Source organism: Homo sapiens, chromosome 6, assembly GCF_000001405.40.
Source record: "Homo sapiens chromosome 6, GRCh38.p14 Primary Assembly".
Lineage (NCBI taxonomy): Eukaryota > Metazoa > Chordata > Mammalia > Primates > Hominidae > Homo > Homo sapiens.
Window position 1 is genome coordinate 14,494,608 of NC_000006.12, and position 22,082 is coordinate 14,516,689.

The following is a 22,082-nucleotide window of genomic DNA, read 5'->3' on the forward strand; positions in this document are numbered from 1 at the left end:
TGCACCCTGACCTTGAAGCCAATGGCTTTGGTAAATCCACTTATTAAATATCATAGTTTATCAGCAGATTCTTTTTGAGATTCTATATACATAAGCATATTTTCTTTATACAGTAATAGTTTTTAAAGACTTTTTCCCAATTCTTATAACTCTAATTTTTTTATTCTTTATTGCAGTATGCCCTCCAGTAAAATGTCATATAGAAATAATGATAGCTGAAATCCTCATCTTTTCCCAAAATCAAGTGAAAATATTTCAGTACACTACTGTTAAGTAGGATGCTTGCCATGGATGTTTTGTGTATACTCTTTGTTAGTTTAAAGAAGTTCTTTTAATTCCAAATTTACTGAGAGTTTTCATCATGAATAAGTGTTGAATTTTATCAAATAATTTTAATGCATCTGGGGAGATGATGATATGATTTTTTGCCTTCATCTGTTGTTAATGTGGAGAGTTTCACTAATTGATTTTGGAATGTTAAGCCAACCTCGCACACTTTGAATAAAGACAATTTGGCCATTATGCACTATCTTTTTATACATTAATGTTCAGTTTACTATTTTTTTGGTTAGAATCTTTGTGCCTATTTATGACAGGGATTATGTTGTATTTTTTTTTTCTTGTAATATCCTTGTCAAGGTTATGCTAGCCTCATGAAATAAGATAGAAAATGTTTTCTCCATATTTCAGGTTAATTGGTGTTATTTCTTTCTTAAAAGGATGACTTCATGTTGAACTTAACTGGACCTGGATTTATCTTTGAAGTGAGGTTTTTCATTTTAAATTCAATTTCTTTAGGAGAAATAAGATTGCTTATGTTTTTCTATCTCTCCTTGTGTTCATTTTGTAAGTTGTATTTTTCAAAGAACTTTTCTACTTCTAAATTTCTCCACAACTTATTTTAAATATTTGTTGAAACTGTAGTGACTTCCCATTTTTCATTCTTCATATTGAGAATTTGTGTGTTTTATTTTTTTGTTCTTGATCAGGCTTGTTAGAGTTTGTCAACTTTATCAATCTTTTTTAAAAAAGTTTATCAATCTTTTAAACAACTTTTTGTTCTGTTGATTTTGTCTATTTTTGTTTTTCATTTCATTGATTTCTGCTCTTAACTTTATTATTACATTCCTTCAATTTTCTTTAAATTTTTTCCTCTAGTTTCTTGAAATAGATGCTTAATCTCAACTTTTCTTCTTTTTCCATATATGCATTTAAAACAAAAAATTCCCATCTTGGCATTATTTTAGTCACATAACACGAGTTGTTTTGTTTGTTTGTCTGTTTTTTGAGACAGAGTCTCGCTCTGTCACCCAGGCTGGAGTACAGTGGCATGGTCTCTTGGCTCACTGCAACCTCCACCTCCCAGGCTCAAGTGATTCTCCTGCCTCAGCCTCCTGAGTAGGTGGGAATACAGGGGCCCACCACCACACCCAGCTAATTTTTGTATTTTTAGTAGAGATGGAGTTTTGCCATGTTGGCCGTGTTGGTCTCCAACTCCTGGCCTCAAGTGATCCATCCACCTCAGCCACCTAACGTGCTGAGATTACAGGTGTGTCTGGCTTCTATTTCTATTGTCTATGTTATTATTGTTCTCATAAATATAATGTGTCTTTCTCTGGCTGCTTTTAAGATTTTACCTTTGTCTTTGATTTTTGCAGTTTTACCATGCTATTCTAGTATTTTTGTTTGGTATTGATCCTGTTTTGAAAAACCATTTTGAAAAATTCTCAATCAGAATGCCTTTGAATATTTTCCTGATTATGCACACATTAAGCTACATGAAGTTTTTTCACAGCTCACTTATACTTTTATCATTTGTTTGAGTCTATTTTTTCTGTGCTTCATTTAGGATATTTTCTCTTACTATACATCTTCAAGTTCACTAATTTTTTCTTCTACTATGTCTAATCTGCCATCAATCCCATTTATTATTTAATCTCAGACAGTAAAGTTTTTCTCCAGAAGTTTCATTTGGATCTTTTAAAATATTTTCCATATCTCTACTTCACTATCTGAACATATAGAATAAAGTTCTAACAACTGGTTTGTTCTTGTCTGCTAGTTCTAACTAACCTCTGTGCTGGTTCTGGATTGCCTTCAATTCACTGATTATTCTCCTCACTATAGGTCACGGTTCTTTGAATGCTTGATATCTTTATTTGGATGCCAAACATTGTGGATTTTTACCTTGTTGAGCTCTGAATATTTTTGTTTAAATATTCTTGTATAACTATTCTTGAGCTTTGTTCTGGGATGTATTGGAAATGATTTGATTCTTTCAGCTGTAACTTTTATGATTTGTTAGGCAGGTCCATAACTGCTTAATCTGAGGCCAATTATTCTCCATTACTAAGGCACAACATTGCTAAGTATTCTACCCAAATGCCTCATGAATTGAGTTTTCCAGTCTGGTTGGTGGGAATAGTCACTATTCTCAGCTTTGTGTATGTGTCAGGCACTATTCTCTCATTCTTCCAGATTTTTTTTCTTGCCCCATTCTTGGGTAGCTTCCTCACATGCATGTGTTGGTCTGTACTCTGTTGTGCACACAGGGGGAACCTTTGCAGACATCCAGGGTTTTCCCTTTGTATGCCGTCCCATGACCTCTGGCCATGGTGATCTCCTACATCCTCAGCCCCATCTCCTCTGCTCTACCTGGGTTTCCCCTCCCTGCACTGCAGCCTGGAAGTTTTCTGAAGGCAGTAAGCTGGAGTACTCCTAGGACTCCCCTTCATGCTCTGTCTGAATCACTGCCCTTTGTTTCCTGCTGAGAAGTCTTGAAAATCATTTTTTCATATATTTTGTATGTTTTTCTATTGTTGTTTCGGAAAGGAGGATAAATTCACGCCCTTTTATCTCACCTTGGGCAGAAGCAGAAGTTGGTGCATTGTATTTTAAAAATTTAGTTGACTGGGGAACTCTTTTTCATGGTGCACATTTTGGGAAATTTTAGGTTAAAGTTAATCTGACAGGCACTGGACACTCGATATTTTTTGAACTAAGAAATGGAATTTACCTATTAAAATTCAAATCCCTTTGAGAGGTAAACCCCTTAAATCATTAACATCCATTAGCACTGATTAGTTTATCTGAAGATTGGCTTTCCATTTATTTCTTGTCTAGCAGAGAAGAAAAAAATGGAAAAAATAAAATTACAGAGTCAGAAAATTAGGTTGTTAGGAGCGGATAAAGATAAGGGCCAAAGCTTAATAGTACCAAAGAATCTTTTTTTTAATTGATTTTTTTTTTTTTTTTTTTTTTTTGGAGCATCTTCTTTCTACAGGTGAGGTGAGGTGAATCTTGCAGAGGGTAAGTGTCTTACCTGAGGTCATGCAGCTTGGAATGGAAGAGCTGGGATTACAGCCTGGTTCTAAACTAGGCAACACATTTAAATGTGTTATATAGGAAATGATCAATAAATACTAATTTTTCTTTCCTTCTCAATCTAGTGCTGGAGCAGAGGTACTGAATGAGGAAGTGGAGTCTTGGGATACCTTTGGAGGGATCCAGTTAATGGACTGGCTGCCATAATTGGTCTGAGACACTGGTGCAAGCATGGTAGGTATGAGGGACTAAAAGGAAGGAAACAGCCCACTAGAGGACAATAATCCGAGTACAGAGATAGTATGGGAGCAAGTGACACATATGGTAAATTAAAAAGTCACTGCCCCTGTAATCCCAGTACTTTAGGAGGCCGAGGCGGGTGGATCACGAGGTCAGGAGATCAAGACCATCCTGGCTAACACAGTGAAACCTGGTCTCTACTAAAAATGCAAAAAATTACCCTTGGCATGGTGGCATACACCTGTAGTCCCAGCTACTCGGGAGGCTGAGGCAGGAAAATTGCTTGAACCTGGGAGGTGGAGGTTGCAGTGAGCCGAGATCACGCCACTGCACTCCAGCCTGGGTGACAGAGTAAGACTGTCAAAAAAAAAAAGTCACTGCCAACAACTGAAAATACCTCCAGGTATTTCCTTCCTTCCTTCCTTCCTTCCTTCCTTCCTTCCTTCCTTCCTTCCTTCCTTCCTTCCTTCTTTCCTTTCTTCCTTCCTTCCTCCCTTCCTTCCCACTTCCATAGTGGGAGCTCGGAGCCACATGTAATTTCATTTTTTTTTTTTTAAATAATGAACTGCCATGTTTCCTACTTCCAAATTCTAGAGTGCAATTCGTACCTGCTACACTCTGATGAGAGGGTGTAAGCTTTATTTGTAGAGCTGGAGTTAGTTTGGGCATTGCTATCATGATGATAGGCATTTTTAAGAGGCAGAGAATCAGGCAGGAAAATAGCACAAAGTAAATGCAGGGAACAGTTACAAAATAAATAGAAAACTTGGGCTCTTAACTTCAAGAAGCTTAATCTAAGCAGAGACATCAGGAAAACACACATCAAAGGACTTAGTAAAATGCCCCAAGTCAAATCACTGCTGTGCACAACACATACACTTGTAGGAATGATAGCTATTATTATCATAATTTGTTGAGTATCTACTATATGCAGGCATGTAGGCACTTTTTTTAAATTTAATTTTATTTATTTTTTAGAGACAGGATCTTGCTCTGTTGCCCAGGCTAGAGTGCAGTGGTATGATCATAGCTCACTGCAGCCTTGACCTAGCAGACTCAAGCGATCCTCCTGCCTCAGCCTCCAGAGGAGCTAGGACTACAGGCACACACCACCATGCCTGGCTAATTTATTTTTATTTTTTGGAGAGATGAGGTCTCCCTATGTTGCACAGTCTGGTCTCAAACTCCTGGGCTCATGTGATCCTCCCACCTTGGCCTTACAAAGCGCTGGAATTACAGGCGTAAGCCACCACACCTGGCCCACTTAGGAACTTTCTATATGCTATAGCATTTAATGTTCACTTTTAATGAGGAAATTAGGACCAGAGAGGTGAAGCAACTTGCCCACAATCACACAGCTAGCAAATGACAGAACTAGGTCTCAAGGTCAGGTCTGTCGTTTCCATCACCTTTGCTCGCATCACCACCCTTCTAAAGACAAACAGAGTAGTGGATCCTTAGATGCCAAGAGATAAACTTGGGATCAACACAGCTGGGAGGACCCAGCAAGAATTGGCAAAGTAGAGGGCATATTTTATAATTTAAGAAGCAAAATGCTGTCACATGTCAGCAGAGTCAAGGGGGAAAAAAGTGCATAAAACTAAAAAAATTAAGAATGATAAAGAAAAACCAAGTAGGTAAGGATGAGGGTGTGTTGACCCTTGTTTCAACTCCACTGGTTTCTTCCCCACAAAATCATTTAGGGAATAGAGAGACAATAACAGGAGGGCAGAGGCACTTAATCAGAGATTTTACAAACCACTAAATCAAAAGAGACTGTGAAATTCCCGCCCGGGGAAGCTAACAGTGAGATTAAATGGATTAGTCTACTGTACAGGAATCCGGGGAATGCAGGCAGCATGTGCTTTTGTTGTGGATTGCTCAGCAGCAACACGATAGTTTTACATCTCCCAGAAACATATGGGCATGTGCCCTTCTGCAAACCAGCAAGCAAGAGCAGCGCCTGGCGAGCTGCTTCCCCTACACCACACGTCTCGTTTCAGGAGGTGGCAGATAGTGACATTTTATGGAGAGCTTGCGCAGGGAACGTGTGGGAAATGAAAAGGCAACCCAGCTAATCGCACCCATAATTTCTAAGCTCAGAGCTGGGTTCACTACGGTTGTGGGGAATAAAAAAAGAACTGGAATTAGGAGTTCTGGTATTAATCCTTGCAAAGAAAGGGAGAAGAGGCTGGGTGCAGTGGCTCACGCCTGTAATGCCAGCACTTTGGGAGGCCTAGGCGGGCGGATCTCTTGAGGCCAGGAGTTCGAGACCAGCCTGGTCAACATGGTGAAACCCCTTCTCTACAAAAAAAAAAAAACATTACAAAAATTCGCCGGGCATGGTGATGCGCACCTGTAGTCCCAGCTACTCGGGAGGCTGAGGCAGGAGAATCACTTGAGCACGGGAGGCGGAAGTTACAGTGAGCCAAGATCGTGCCTCCATGCTCTGCTTGAGTGACAAAGCGAGACTCATGCCCAAACCAAAAAAAAAGTGGGCTGGCTGGGAGCGGGGGAGAAGAAGGAGGCCTCTGACAGTGTGTCTCCCAAACTTTGGAGGCAACTGCTACCTGAAGATAGCCGAGAAGACTCCTTAGCTCCTTTCCTTTTGGTGTTAACGGCAGCAGTGGTAGCACATGGAATTAAACTCACAAAACACACAGATTGCTAGTTTCCAGAAATCCACATCCAAACTCCAAAAAGCCAGACATTGGTTAGATATATGTACAAACTCTGACCCGCCTGAGTTAACGGTTGACATCAGCAGTCTATAATAAATAATTAATATAGCCCTAGGAGACATAAAGCCAGCAACATGGTATCTCTCCCTCAGCTCTAAATGGAATGCCAGATAACCTACTTTGAAGAGTAATGTGTTCACAGTATGTGGGAATTAACTGCTCAATATAATAAGTACTATTGAATTTCCCATCTCCATGCACATGGAGGGCAACTGCCACCAAAAACACAGTAATAACAGTAACTGAGTGATGAAAAAAAGAGCCCCATTTTTTATTACAACCTTAAAATGTTATAGGTTAAAATAATCTTAAAGGGTTTAAAAAACAGCAATTAAATCTTTCCATTTCTGTTTTCCAAGACTGCAGCTGAGAACACGAGGGCCTAAGAGCCATACGGTGCTAGCCTTGCTAATAACGCTCTGTGAAAAATCTCATTAATTCAGTCTGGCTCTTCAGATCAGCCGCTAAATCCTTGTATTGTCACTCATCCTCTGGCCTTTTCAGGATTTCCATAGCCTAACTAGAAGTATCTCCATGGAAACCAAGCAGTCCTGCTTTGCACATCCCGGAACTTTTTGTTCCTGACAAAGCTTGACAAATCACATGCAGCATGGAGAGTTTAACATAGCGAACTAAATCCTGACCCGCACTTAGAAATGATAAACCCAAGCATACCAGCTTTATTATAAATGATTTCCTTACAAGATACTTAACCAAGCCAGTGAAATGCTGAACCAGACAAGTTTCAAGAACAAGGTGCTGGGGGGGAGAAGGGGGGGGGGGGAAGGCAAATAAATAAATAGATAAATAGGAACCCCAGGTGTGTTCAGCTGTAGGTTCTGCGAGCTCATTTTCTGTCTAATTGACTTAAATTGAAAGCAACTGAAGGCGAGAAAGAGCGAGAAGGATGCTGTTTCTGAGAAGGCCTTCCTTTTTTTCCTCTGGAGAAAGTGAAATCCTAAATCCATTCCCTCATTTTCCCTAACTCCTGAAGAGAATGGGAATCTACAGGTCTCTATCCCTGGTGAGCCCGGAGGTTGAGTTTTCACAAGGGCAGCAAGAAGAATCCCTTCTCCTCTTCCTGTCCACCTTCTGAAGAGGAGGAGACAGAGCCGGGTTGCAGATCCTCACCAAAGTGGATGCTGTTCCCAGAGGAAGGAAGGCCCCCCCGGGGCAAGGTTGCCAACATGACCCCACAGAGACCAGGAACAAACGTTCTTGCCTTTGGACTTCACTTCTTCACAGAGCCAGAGTTACAGGCCAACCTGAAGATGGTATCATGACTCACACACACTTATTTCTCAGCCTCAGCCAGGCTCAAGAGCAAGACTGCTGAAGGAGGAAGGGCCCTTCATGGCCTCCTCTGCCTCGTGACTGCTTTACCTGCCACTGATGAGGCTTCCCTGGGATGAGATGGAGACGAGGGCACTGAATGACTTTGAGTTAGGGGGACTCAAGAGGGTGAGGGCACCATGATCATTACCCCTTCAGTCTCCTGTCTCCCTCTTGGCATCTCTGCAACACAGAAGGCTGGCAATGGTGAGATATTATATTGTCAATTATTCAAACTTTAGAATTTTCTGATGCCTCAACATCCCTGCAAATGGGCTGTGAGCACCTTGCCCAGGTGACCAGGTGCACCAGTGTGCTAAGGCTGGTCCGGGCCACAGGTTCCCCACTTTGTGCTCCCCTGACTGGGACCTAGTGACATCAACACCACCAGTGCAATCCCCTCACACCTTTTGCTTGTGGATTCCCCTCTGAAGTCCAATAAAGGCGCTTGTCTGAGTCCTCTCTCTCTCATCTCTTTCTCTCTCTCTCTGTCTCAACTCTGCACTACCTTGGTTGAGTCAGCTCCCTTGGCACTCCTCCAATGTGGCCCCACGTGGCAGGGTGCTCTTCACGACCTTTGCTAGCCTCCATCCATCTACTTAATATGCTCTCCGAGTATAATTCCCATGGCCATGTGGGGTGATCTTTAAAGACCCCACACGGGATTGCTCCCCCATTTATAAGAAGCAAGTGACAAGAGAAGGCCCAGGGCAGTACAGGGAGGCCTGGGAAATGCCACAAGTCCTCCTTATATTCTGCCTCCTTAGCCTGAGCCTTGATTCCACTTGGAATCACACTAGGGGTATCTTCAAAGGTCTGAGACAGAAGTCTTCCTTCTTGGGTTCTTGGTGTGGAGGCTGGTGATGTTTTTGAGACACCATAATATTTGTAGCATTGGCGATGCCTTGCCTAGACAAACCACAGAAGACTAGACTGACCTCTGCATGGGCAGCAGTGTCTGAACTCTCATCACCCAAGAACTCGCCAACACAGCGCTACTGGGTATTTACAACAACAACCAGTTCTGGACACATTGTACACGGTCTACAAATACTTGCTGATTAACTGAATTGGGGCCTGTAAGATCCCACAGCTCCCTCAGATTCTTCAAAGCAAGAGTAAATGAAGCTTAGTCTCATTTCAACCTTCAGTGAACACTACTGTGCTCTGTGAAAGTTGAGAATCCATATAATAATAATAGTAATAATAATAATAATGGCAGTTAGCTGTTATCAAGTTCTTACCCTGTAATACCAGGCGTTCTTCTGAGTGTTTATTATATACATATATTAGCTCCTTTAATCCTCCTAATGATCACCTGGAGAAGATACTATTATTATGCCTATATTATTACCTTCATTTTATCAATGAAAGTACTGAGACACAAAGGGCTTAACGAACTTGCTTAAATTCACAGAGCTGGGCTTTGAACCAAGGCAAACTCTAGCATTTATGCATTTAACCACTACCCTTTGCTGTCTCTTGTGATACTATCAATGCTAAGTGCCTCAAACCAAAATATTCAGTAAATTATAATAGCTACTGTTGGGGCTCAGAAAACAACACCCCAAAATGAAGACCTCAGAAGTGGCTTCAGAAGCATCCTCAGGGCCAGGCAAGGTGGCTCACGCCTGTAATCCCAGCACTTTGGGAGGCCGAGGCAGGTGGATCACATGAGCTCAGGAATTCAAGACCAGCCTGGCCAACATGGAGAAATCCTAAAAATATAAAAATTAGCTGGGCATAGTGGCACACACCTGTAATCCCAGCTACTCGGGAGACTGAGGCAGGAGAATTGCCTGAGCCTGGGAGACGGAGGTTGCAGTGAGCCGAGATTGCGCCACTGCACACCAGCCTGGCCGACTGAACCAGACTCTGTCTCAAAAAAAAATAAAAAAGAAGTATCCTCAGAAGCAAACATTTTTCTTCGACCTTCTCCTGTCCTCCTGTCTCTCAGTCCTATTGTCCCCCAAGACTAGTCATAGAAATTGGGATTCCCTCTTTCCCAAGTGGAGTCATACAAACCAGAACCTCTTTTCCCCAAAGCTAGGAATGAAACCTAAAAGTATTACTCTAATTTCCCTTCCACCTTTCTGTGTAAAAACTGGACATTCAGAAATGATCTGATCTACCTTGTTTGACTGTCAGTCATAAGACCTCCACTGCCATTCCAGAGAGAGTCCTGTGCCATTCCAGAGAGAGTCCTGTCCCATTCCCAGAAGGAGGAAATGGTGCACAGAGAAGCCAAGAAGAATCTAGAAAGGCAGGCCTTGCTGGGTGTCCCCACTCAGTCTATTAGTATTAGATCATACCCTCTTTGTCCAATCACCTTTCCACAGGGTCGTCCATCCTTTGTGAAACCTAAGCATAAAAATGGACAATTGGCCGGGCATGGTGGCTCACGCCTGTAATCCCAGCACTTTGGGAGGCCAAGGCGGGCAGATCGCAAGGTCAGGAGATCGAGACCATCCTGGCTAACATGATGAAACCCCGTCTCTACTAAAAATACAAAGAATTAGCCGGGCGTGGTGGTACGTTCCTGTAGTCCCAGCTACTCGGGAGGCTGAGGCAGGAGAATTGCTTGAACCCGGGAGGCAGAGGTTGCAGTGAGCGAAGATCCCGCCACTGCACTCCAGACTGAGCGACAGAGCGAGACTCCGTCTCACAAAACAATAAAGGACAATTTTCCAGACTCTATCTTTGAGTCTTCATTCTGAAAGCTCCTGTGTTTACCTGTTAAATACGTTTGTATGCCTTTTCTCCAGTTAATCTGTCTTTTGCAAGTTGATTTTTCAGTGAAACTTCAGAAGGCCCCTTGACCCCACCTTAGCAATTATGAAATGCTCGCTCTGTGTGGGGTACTACTCTGGCTTTATACACATCACCTCATTCACTATTATTAGCACCACTTTTCAGATGAGGAAACTGAGGCACAGAGAAGTTAAGTAACTCACCCAAAGTCATATAACCAATAAATGACAGAACCAGATTCTAACCCAAGCATCATGGCTCCAGAAGTTCCCATCAGCCAGTACCCTGGTTTCCCTGATCATTCGAGAAAGATGTGGAGTAATATTCCATGGAACACCTGTTCTAGGCAGGGACATTCTCTTTCTGAACGACCCCATCCAGCCCATCAGACGAGCTGGGTATTGTTATCTTTTTTCTTACAAGACTTCCTTTCAAACTGCTTTTTTAGAGGTGCTCAAAACAACTTGAGGCCCAGAGTGAGCCGGTGGGAAGGGCTGCCCTTTGCCCTGGTCCTGGGAGGACACACCTGAGTGGACATAGCCTTTTGACCCCTCTCAAGGAGCCGAGAATAAAGTGCCTGTCACGCTCACACACAGGACTGTCAGTGAGTTCAGCTGAGTCCCGCTCTACATGCAGGCTCTGGAAGATCAGACAGCGCTCATTGGGTAGAGGGACAGTGCCAATGCTTGGGAACCTAAAATTAGGCCTACCAGCTGTGTTTTGGGTTTGCAGGCACGTGCACATCTGATCCATTCTTGAGCACACTGGGTATTGAAATATATATGAAACCTGCTTTCTGAAGTACAGAGAAAGCATAAAATTCTTGCACCTTTTATTTTATTTATTGTTTCTCTTCTGAGGCCCTAACTTCTTCTTTACAGCCCAGGGAATGACATTTCTCCCCTGTCCGTTTTCCCCTCTGGGCTGCTTCCTCTGAAGAAAACATCAACCCTCACCCTTAAGAAACCCGGGCGGTCACTTTGGGGCTGGAACACGGGCATGTCATTTCTCCTCTCAGCCTGGGCTCTCTGTTTCCTGGATCACAGGCTCTTCTAGAATCTTCAGCCTGCTACACTTAGCAAATGGGGCCCAAGGCTGAGCCTAAGGTGGTCCAAGAGCTGGTTCTTGGCTTAGGAGTGGATAGGCTGAAGTGCATGGCGCAGAGCCTTGGAGGAGAATTGGAGGAGAGGACATGGGTTTATATCCCAGGTGAGGACAAGCTGGGCACGAAAGAGAGGGTAGGACAGGAGGCCTAAGACAGGGGGCAGAGAGCAAGCATACGGCCCCAGACAAAAGGGTTAGCCACAGAGAACCGGCAAGGTGGAACTAAGATTGGCAGGCACTGCCCGGAAATATTCCTGGAGGTGTTTGCTCCAACAGAGTGAGAACTTTCTATAGCAGCCCTGCCCGATAGGACTTTCTGTGACAATGGAAGTGTGCTACAGCTGCACTAACGGATGAGGTAGCCACCAGCCACATGGGACAATTAAGCATTTGAAATGTGGCTTATGTAACTGAGGTACTGAATTTTTAATTTAATGTAATACTTTAGAATTTAAATGGCCACATATGGCTAGTGGCTACCATATTGGACGGTGCAGTAGGAAGAGGAAGGAGCTCTGCCAGTGTGCACAGTAAAATGTCACAGATTGGAATCAATGCCTGGAGCAATGTCAGCTCTTCCACTCTAGCCACCTGCCTTTATGCAGAAGCACACCTCAGCCATTCAACCTATGGTTGGCTCTCTAGTCTCTTTCCTGCCGCCCTCCTGGGAAGATGCCCCCATTTCTCTTCTGTAGCCCTTTTCAGAATGAAGTAGTCCTTGCTGTCAGGAGCGCCTTCCTGGCCCAAGTTCAATTTTACCTGTTGGGTGTACGCCCATTTCCTTAGTGCAGTCTTTTATGTCCTGAGCAATTCTTCCTGCCCCCGTGTTGACGGCATACACATTCTTCTGTCTATGTTACTTCTCAGACTCCCAATTCCAACTCTCTGTTTCTGGACTGTTTTTCCTCTTATCTGGGCCACTGCAGCCTCCTAGCTCACTTCCCTGTGCCTACAATTATTGTTTGCACAACAGGCTGAGTGATCTTTCAAACACATGAATGGGAACCTCTCTCTTTTAAGCATGAAATCATTCAGGAGCTTCCTTCCCAGGCATGAGCCAGTCTCTGCCTACCTCTTCATCTCATCCTGCACTGCCCTTCCTGAGGCCTCCATCAGTCCCTCCCTACCCGTTGTCACCCCAGCTCTTCACATTCTATCAACTCCCTGCAGGCAGGGCCTTTGTCTGTTCATGCCTAGGGATGTAGTGCCTGGTGTATAGAAGGTGCTCAGGAATTATTTGTTGAGTGAATGAGTGAATAATGGATTAGTACTCCAAGGACATAATAGGTGGATACCATCACTAATGTATTGTTAATAGCCAACTGTAGTATATCCCTTAAAGTACTCAATATGCTTGAAAGATGTTTTTACATTGATCCCGAAATAAAAATGAAGAATGTGTTTCTTAAGTCCTGACCCATACACCAGAATAAAGACTATCTATCTCAAGCGTGTGACTCCTCCCAGGCCCCACAGTATCTTGGGCTTGTCTCAAAATATACTGTATTGGGTGAAGTGTGCTGGCTCACTCCTGTAATTTCAGCACTTTGGGAGGCTGAGGTGGGAGGATTGCTTCAGGCCAGGAAATCAAGACCAGCCTGAACAACCTAGCAAGACTCCATCTCTACCAAAAAACAAAATAATAATAACCCAGCATGGTGGTGTGCACTGGTGGGGGTGGGGGTGGGGTCTGAGGTGAGAGGATTGCTTGAGCCCAGGAGTAGCTGCAGTGAGCTATGATTGCACCACTGCTCTCCAGCCTGGACCGCAGAGCAAGACTCTGCCTCTAAATAAATAAAAATAACATGAAAAAATTTAAAAAGTGTACCATATATTCCTTCCCCAGCAACTACACATTATCATGTACCATTCTGGAACTAAAGTCTTAGCAGAGAAAATAGAGTTTAGAGTTTGAACAGCAAGATCTCAGGTGAACTTATAAAAACTTTTACAATTTTTACCCTTATACAAATTTTTTTCAAAACTAAAAACAATAAAGATGGCATAATAAATCAATGGGCTATCACTGGTGCTTATGAGTTCTTAAATGAGAATACACTGCAGGTACAATTTGCATTTACCATTCCTCACACACTCCAAACCCTTTCAAATTTTTATGTCCCACAGTTTCAACGATATGAAGACTATGAAGTGGTTTCCTTGTCCCGGGTCTTTCTGAACACCTTGTGCCTTTCTGACCTTGTGTCTTGAGGTTGCAGTTGTCCACCAGCTGATTCCCATCCCTCAGGGTTCACTGTGGTTGCAAAGATAAAATCATCTGTTTGATCAAGGTGGATAAATCTTTGAGAAGCCTTTAACTAATAAAAGTGCATGACAGCACAGGGGATTTTCCGAAGCCACTCACCTTCAGTTCTGCCCACAATGGCTCTGTGCTCGATCACAGCGGAGGATGATGGAACACTCCACCAAGCTCTGTCAGCCCCTCAACCCACTGGCCTCCACCCAGTAGCCCTCAGGGTCTCATATAAGGCCCTGCTTCACTGCCCTCACCTTCTTTTGACTCCCCCAGGGCCAACATTATGACTGAGTTGTGCGCTCCTCAATTCATACTTTGAAATCCTAACCCCTAGTACCTCAGAATATAATTCAGAATGTAACTTTGAAGATAGTTTATTTAAAGACGTAATTACAGTAGAGTGAGGCGCTATGGGTGAGCCCTAATCCAATATGACTAGTATCCTTATTTTGTTTTTTTAAAAAAGGAGATGACGACACAGATACTATCCAGAGGGATGACCAGGTGAAGAATGACCAGGTGAAGACACAGAAAGAAGACCCCCTTCTACAAGCCAAGGAGAGAGGCCTCAGAAGAAACCAACCCTCACAACTCCTTGATCTCACACTTTCAATCTCCAGACGGCGTGGAAATAAGTTTCTGTTCTTTAAGTCCCCCAGCCTGGGATACTTTGTTATGACCACCTCAGCAGATGGACACAACCAGGTTGCAAAAGCTACTCTCTCTGCCCTACCCTCCCTTTGCCTGTCTTTTGCCTTCCTTACTACCAGCTTCTTTTAATTGATTTTTATCAGGGACCAAGAGACGTTTGTGAATATTCAAATTAGAATTCTTAGACGTGAGAAAAGTATACTGGAAAAAAAAATCTATTAGGACTTCCCATAAGGCAGACCTGCGGCAGGGGCAGGGAGTGGCCAACTTAAAAGACCCTACAGGCATATCCAAACTGTGTTATGCATTGAGCAGGTTTTCAGGATAAGCCCAGAATGAGATCAAAATCCTCCTGCCAGATGACCTGATGGGCCAATGGACTGTGGGAATCTTTTAGAGTGTTAGATTTTCTTGAGGACAGGATGCCCGTGAGGAAGACAGCTTGTAGAGGGGTATCTGTAGGAAGAGAGAGAAAACACAAGAGGATCAGATGGGGTCTGCCGCCTTCCTCATCTGAGCCCTTGAAAGAGAGAGAAGCTGAGGGGGTGGTTTCCGTGTGAGGCTTTGCTTCCAAGCCAGGTGACAAAGTGGCAGGCAGAGTGAGGGAAGGGCATTTCTCCCTGTGCTCGATCACAGTGGAGGATGACAGAACACTCCACCAAGCTCTGCCAGCCCCTCGACCCACTGGCCTCCACCCATTGGCCCTCAGGGTCTCACATAAGGACATAAAGAACATATGAACATAAAGAACACTATGTCACATTGCCGGCACACGGGTTTTACGGCTGTGAGGATGCCAGAAAACATGACTGTGGGCAAGGGATCTAGAAGTGTTCATAGATCCATACAGTAGGCTCCTGGGGCTGCCCAGGTTTAGCTGGGGAGACTGGAGGTCTTATGGTCTGTGCTGCTGGTGAGGTGGCCTCATCTGCTCATACATGTGGGTGAACCTGAGGAACTTGGGACCATAAGCTCAGCTCCAGTTGAACATCCAGATGAATACTACCTTTTATGGATTCGAATGTTCTTGTCCTTCTCCCGATGAAGTATCAAGCGTCTTTCAAAGAAGGCTTACCATAACAGAAATATAAACTTATTCAAGACTTGGGTGAAGGAGACTGTTTTGATAACTCGAAAAGGCAGAGAAAATCTCAGGGAACTACATTCCACTTGGGAAGTGGATTGTTTCTTCTGTTTTGCTCAAATCAGTTCTAACGCACCCTAGTGGGCATGAATGAGCTGGAAGGGTTCTCCAAATCTGCTTTAGTGCATCGAACAATTAACAGGCTTCAACATACAGACCTCAAAATATGCACTGTAAGATGTTGTCAGGGAGACCTCTTATCAACCTTCCCATCACGGCTTTGCTTCCTTTCCTGTCTGAACCTGGGATCTAAGGTCCATGGCTCCAACCACTGTCTGCCTTCAGTGTTCTCTCATGTCTTCACGCCTTGCCTTTCCACAAATCCTGCTCAGCAAACCCCACTCTTAGACCAACTGGATGGTCCACCACTTCTGTGCTGGTATCTGCACTGATGAGTGCTGCCTAACCCCTACTCCTCTTTCCCCGGAAAGATGCTTTAGGCATTTATTCTGTAGGTTCAACACTTCCCTCTCCACTGGCTCCTTCTCCAAAGCCTACAAACATGCTCGACACTCTCCCTTTTTGAGAAGACAGTCAACTTTCCCTTAGCTACAGTCTATATAGCTCCCTCCTTTAATACTCAAACCCAGGAAAAATCAGTCTATATTTCATCTCCCTATCTTCAACCAGAGCAATCTGCTGTCCTGACCCATCTCCCTGGAACCTGCCCTGCACTCCACAGAACCCAGCACTCCACGGAGCCCGCCCTGCTGAGACAAAGGTTATCCATTCATGTTATAAATCCAACTGAATTTTTCTTTGGGACACATTTTACTTTCTCTTTCTGAAATATTTGACTCTGCTGCCTACCCCCTCTATACCCATTTTTTAAAAATATGAAATTTCCCTTTGCTTTATACACATATTTTAATCTGGCTTCCACGACACTGCTCTCTCCTGAAATGTCCTCTGTCTCTTGCTTCTAGGTGAAGCTTGCCTCATCTTTTCTGATTCAAATATCATTTCCCAGTGAATCCTTTCTTGATCCTCCCAGATAAAAATGGCCACTCCCTCCTTCCTATCATTTAGCAGAGACTTTCTTACAGTCCCCATAGCACATCACTGACTGTGTCCACGAGCCTCTGAAAGGAGGCAACTGGAGATTGCTTGTGTTATTTAAATATTCTCAAATGCACAAAAGCCAAAATGTGCCCAAGTGAAACAAAGTGCATCTCAAGGCTGGCTTTATCCTAGGCGTTGCTGATTTGTGAGCCTGATCTAGAAGAACATCCAAGCAACAGTTGGGAATAGGCCCAGTGCCCTTTCAAGGGTGGAGCCTAGGAATCCCAAAGATTGCTTCAGAGTTGCTAACTTTTTTTCTGGCTGGTTTTATGAGCAGAAGACTTTAAAGGTAGCAGTTCCTGAAATATGCCATAAGAAAAAGAGAGTGCCAAGTATATAAACAAGTGTAACTTTTTAAAAAGTTATTTGTAATCAAATATTTTAGAAGACACTGGGCGAAACAAAACAGCTAGATCCATATACGGAGAAGGTAGCTGTATGTGTCTTAACTCCACCTGTCTCTTGCACCAGTCTGACTTCAGACACAAGGTTTGGAACTGAATGAATTACAGGTACAGTTTGCAGGTGATTTTGATGCTCTAGATCTAGTTCTTTTGGAAAAACTTGTTAAAGAACATATATTCGTGTCACTCCAGTTCGAACTGGTTTGGTGTGTGTGTAGTTTGTTTATTGAGGGGGGAAATGTGCTTTACTTTATAGTTCAGTCAAAATTAATGGATAATGAGGATAATAATTTGAGCCTATTAAATCCATTTATTTTCATCTGCAGTAGCCTCATTCCTCACTGCACTGCAGCTCCCAAACCAAGAGCACAGCCTGGCAAACCTGCACAAGGTTCCTTCCACCATATAGAGAAGCCGCTGCTGCCTGTGACTGACAGGTTGGGAGGTCTACTGCCCTGGGGAAGAAGGCAGTCACGGCAGAAAAGGAGTTTCCAACAGAAGAAGTAGAAATCCTGGTCAAGCCTCCTATGGAGTGTAGAAAGAAGAGAGGCAGAGGAATTGCAGCAAATGATCAGGTACGTGTGTCCTGACCCTCCAGCAGCCCAGAGCAGACGAGAAAGCCCCCAGCAGAGGGGTTTAGTTCCCTCTCCCTCTCTGGAACTCCACAAGGGTGATCTCTCATGGAATGAGCCTGAGGCTGCAGTCGAAAGAAAAAAATGATGGTGTGGTACTGTTCGTGTGAGTGTCTGAGGTGGCAATCCTGACATTCCCTTGGCATTCATGCACCATGGAAGAATCCAGAAATTTCCTGTACCCCATGGGAACAAGAAAGGTGGTCAAAGAAGTGAACTGGAACACTGCCAGAAAGGTTGCAGAAGCCTTGGCAAAGTGACCAGTAGCCCTTGAAGGCTGCAGGGCAGAACTTCCAGATCAGGGATTGCTCACGAATGACAACCTGAACCCAGGAATGGGTCTGCAGTGCTGGCAGGAGCTGAAGGGGAGGCCTATTGAGGAGAGCTGCCAACCCTACTTGAGCTAAGAGAACAAACCACAAAAATAACTGATAGGGGTCTCATCAGCAGAAAGCAGCTCAGAGACCAGATCCAAGCAGTACACAACCCTACCCAGATCACCAAAGAGACCAGAATATTCCAGGGACACTACACAGGCCCAAGATCCCTGTCCTTCACCACTGAGGTCACACAGGCTCCTGGCCCTGCACACCAGACATCATGGAAAGAAGAGGGAGCGAGGTAGAAACAGCTCAGATATTGTATGTGTTATCTGTCGCTGTGTGACAAATTAGCCCAACAGTTATTGGCTTAAAACAACTCTAAATATATATTATCTCCTATAGCTTGTCCGAGTCAGAAATGTGAGAGTGGTTTAGCCATTGCCTCTGTCTCGAGGATCTCTCATGTGGCTGCAGTCAAGATTTGGACCAGGGTGACAGTTATCTGGAGCTTTGACTGGCATTGGAGGATCCACTTTGAAGGTGGCTCACTCACTCGTCTTCCAAGTTGGTGCTGGTTGTTGACAGGGAGTTGCTGCTTAAGTGTCTTCATGACATGACAACTGGCTTCCTCCAGAGAGGGTGATCCAAAAGACCAAAGTGGAAGCAGCATTGTCCCCAGAATTCTGACAGCATGACTTCGGCCATATTCTAGTGGTCACAAAGAAAAGCCCTGGTGTCACGATGAAGGGGATCCCGCAAGGGTACGAATCCCAGGAAGTGAGGCTCATTGGGGGCCATCTTGAAACATGGTTACCACAGTGAGGAATTCATTTTTGAACTGACTGAAAAATCACCAGAAAAGTGATTGATTTAACCAGAAGAGGTTGGAAAGTTCCTGACTATGAAAATTCTAAAATTCTGTCATACGAAGACACTTACATCTTTAACTTGAAATTTTTCATTTTTCCTGATCTACCCAGGCTTGAGAAGCAAAATTGATAATGGTTAGTTGGAGAACTGTAAAAAAAAAAAAAAAAAAAATTAAAATGTAATGTTTGCCCAGTGCTGAGTTGTGGCTGTTCAAGCAAATCTATTTCAGATGTTAATTTGGGTGAAGTTCCATTTTTGACAAATGAATATAGTTTTTTCTAGTTTGGGGTTTGTGGTTTCTTTCAGTTCATATCTAGTAGGCTTAGTTCTTGATTACTTTTCTTAAAAAATGGATAAAGTATCTGATCTTCCCCTAAAGGAATTTATACTATGGCTCAGAAGAGAAGAAAAGAAAAAGGAAAGGTGTAGTTTCACAAAGACGCATCCTCAGAGCAGCACACTTTTTGGTCAGAGGTGAATGGTGTCAGTTGGTGGTCAGACGAAGCAGGCTCTCTGATGTTGCCAGCTTCAAGCACCAAGAAGGAAATCTCAAATTCCTCTTACTTCCTAACCACCAGGCAACCGAGGCCCCATCACATCAGGATCCCACTCCTCACTAGAAAAAGCCTTCCATGAAAGGGGAAAAGAACAAACCACCTCCTGAGAAGGATCTCAGATAACAGTCTTACCCCGTGACTTCTGGAGAAAGAAAAATCTCCATAGGACGTGGGGGCTTGGGAATGTGTTTTCCTGAAACAGGATTCTAATAACATACCAGAGCTCAGATTTCCAGGATAATTGAAACCTTTGGTATTAATTGGAGAAGGGGAGGGAATGGGGGAGCTGGGGAATGCAGAAACTTTTTCCTGCCATTGCTGGAAAACTTCATGCTGTGGTTTTGGGGAACAAATAGCCCAGTGTTTCACTGCTTTGGGTCCGAAGGGTGGAGGGGAGGTGGGCACTGAGTGGGGAGGGAGATATGCTCTGTTCAGTCCACCTTTCAGGTTGGCAAGGGACGGCTCAGCTTGGTGCACTGGAGAAGGAATTCCTAAATCCTTATTATTTCTAAACTTGTGGCTTTGCACCAGAGGCACAAGTTTTGGTCACATGCACATGTTGTAAATTTGTCCATCAGCAGATATCATGATTTTCAGAGGCAACTGGCACATCAAGTAGAAATCAATAAATAGTGTTCAGTGACAATGAAAGGTAATTATGCAGCTTTTTAAAAAGTAGCGTTATCGTTGCTACACCATAAGGAGAGAAGAGCAGTCCAATGGGCAGAAGTGAGAACTACAAATAGAATTTTTCACTTAGCATTCATTTGGTCTTCTACTTGTATCCACTTAATAAACACTGTGTCTCTGGCCAGGCTGGTCTCGAACTCCTGCCCTCGTGATCCACATGCCTTGGCCTCCCAAAGTGTTGGGATTACAGAAGTGAGCCACCGTGCCCGGCCCTTCCTTCCTTTTAAATAACCTCCATAGGCCTGAGAGTTCACATTGGAGGACACCAGGACCACTGATTCAGAAAAACTTGCAGAAAGACACTCGGGGGAGGGTGTAGGATCCAGGGTATCTTAGCCTAGAGCTGACTTCCCCAAGGAACTGTGGTGTGGCGAGGATCTTTAAACTCTGCATTTAGGAGCCTTCATACTGATGTTCATCAAGTTGATAACTATAACCTTTTTGAATTATTCCTGAACAGGACAGCTGCCTCAGTTTCCTCGTCTGTAAAGTGGATATAATTTGATATCTTACAGGGCTGTAAAAATTTAATGAAAAGATATCTAAAGTGGCCAGCACAGTGCGCTTTATGAAAGTGTAACTTCCATCCCTGGCCTAATCTACGATATGAAGGAAATGCTATTTGCCTCATAAAGTTATGAGAATTCAATGAAAAACCTATAAAAGTATTAAATATTGTATCTGGGATATGGAAGATTTAGCAGTATTAGCTCAGAAATTATTATTTCTATTATTAGTAGTATTAGTAGCCTGTCCTATAATTTCAGAGAAGAATAAATGTCTCCCTGCTCTTACTTCTACACTCCACCCTCCCCACCCTGCCCTCACTTGCACATGTCAGTGAATCTTTGTGAAGCTTTGGGACCTAGGCTTCTGCACTTCCTTGCCCCACGGGAATGTGAGAAGCTTTTCATTTGTTTCAGGGGCTGCATTTATATAATGGATACCCAGATGTTTGCTTGGCAAGTCAAGACTCAGCTAAGGAAATTCATTTTTGGGTTGAATAGGCAGACAGGACCGATGCTAAAAACACGAGAATGGGAGCAAAAGGGGGTTCAAGTCACTATAAGGCTGGCAGAGGCCAGGGTTCTGCTCCAAGGCAACCCCTGGGAGGTGGCGAGACTTTATAGGGCTGCAGCTGGGTGGCTATGCAGGAGAACCGGCTCCATGATGCACGGCCCAGGGTGCCTCCATAAAGGTCATGGCACCACCCAACTGATGTGAAGCACAACATTGCATAATAGGTGGCCAACAACAAACCTGGTGATCCTCATAGACAAAGAACCAAGCCTGTCTGTTGCCTGCCTTCCCTTTCAGTCCATTTCTACCCCACCTGGACCCCGAGACCATAAGAACAAATCATCCAGCAGTCTGAAAACTTCTGTAATAAAACGAGTCTACCATGTTAGAAGAGCCTTGTTATTTCTGGTGGGCGCAAGGGTGTGGGAGTGGGCGGCATGATTTCTTGCTCTGCTCAGACTTCATCAGGTAGAAAACCGTCTCCCCAGTTTACCCTCTTCTTAGTTCTCTTCCCAAGCTATCTCAGGGATAAATAAGAGACAGAGCATGTCTCCTAGGGTCACATTTCATGTCAGCCCCCTTCCCATCCACCTGAAGTCCAGCTCCCCCTTGGTTGAACCTTCCCCTTCCATGGGGACTATGCATGTTTCAGTAAGGCAATGCTGGGAGACCCTTCAGAGTGTGTCCTGAACTGTAGATCAACTGTTTCAAATTACAACTCCAGTTCCAGGCCGGTGTTTTTTTGTGCCAAATCCTAAGAAAGAGATAAATGGAAGAGGAGGAAGAAAATGGTATGTGAAGTCTTAATTGATGTTGAACATCTGATGGGACTTCTGCGAGGGCCCTGCTTTTGTCCAGAATACTTGGGGGTCCTTGTTTGTTTTTGCACTTATAGAATGCTTCTATTTATATCTGCTATGTTTTCAAAAAATCAAAGGGGAGATGCATTGTTAAGAACACAAAGATCACCACAGAGCTGG

At 43.8% G+C, this 22,082-nt stretch overlaps 1 long non-coding RNA gene across 5 annotated transcripts in view, besides 1 other annotated feature; it reads left to right on the forward strand.

The window, feature by feature from the left end:
- Positions 1 to 21,490, forward strand: part of LOC101928331 (uncharacterized) — an 84,318-nt gene extending 62,828 nt beyond the window's left edge. For 2 of the 5 annotated variants that reach the window (XR_001743994.3, XR_001743995.3), the window contains exons 2-3: positions 3,450 to 3,558; positions 14,216 to 21,490. This is a non-coding gene — a long non-coding RNA (uncharacterized LOC101928331). Of the gene's footprint in view, positions 1 to 719; positions 765 to 3,449; positions 3,559 to 14,215 lie in introns of all 5 variants that reach the window. The other 3 variants (XR_001743997.3, XR_001743999.3, XR_001743996.3) reach the window with 3 other exon arrangements.
- Positions 13,832 to 15,031: an enhancer, noted in NCBI's record as "BRD4-independent group 4 enhancer chr6:14508670-14509869 (GRCh37/hg19 assembly coordinates)". NCBI's record gives its function as "activates an origin of replication core promoter dependent on BRD2, P300/CBP, MED14 and CDK7 cofactors, and independent of BRD4, by STARR-seq in HCT116 cells {active_cell/tissue: HCT116}" and the evidence as "EXISTENCE:reporter gene assay evidence [ECO:0000049][PMID:35650434]".
- Positions 21,491 to 22,082: the final 592 nt, after the last annotated feature.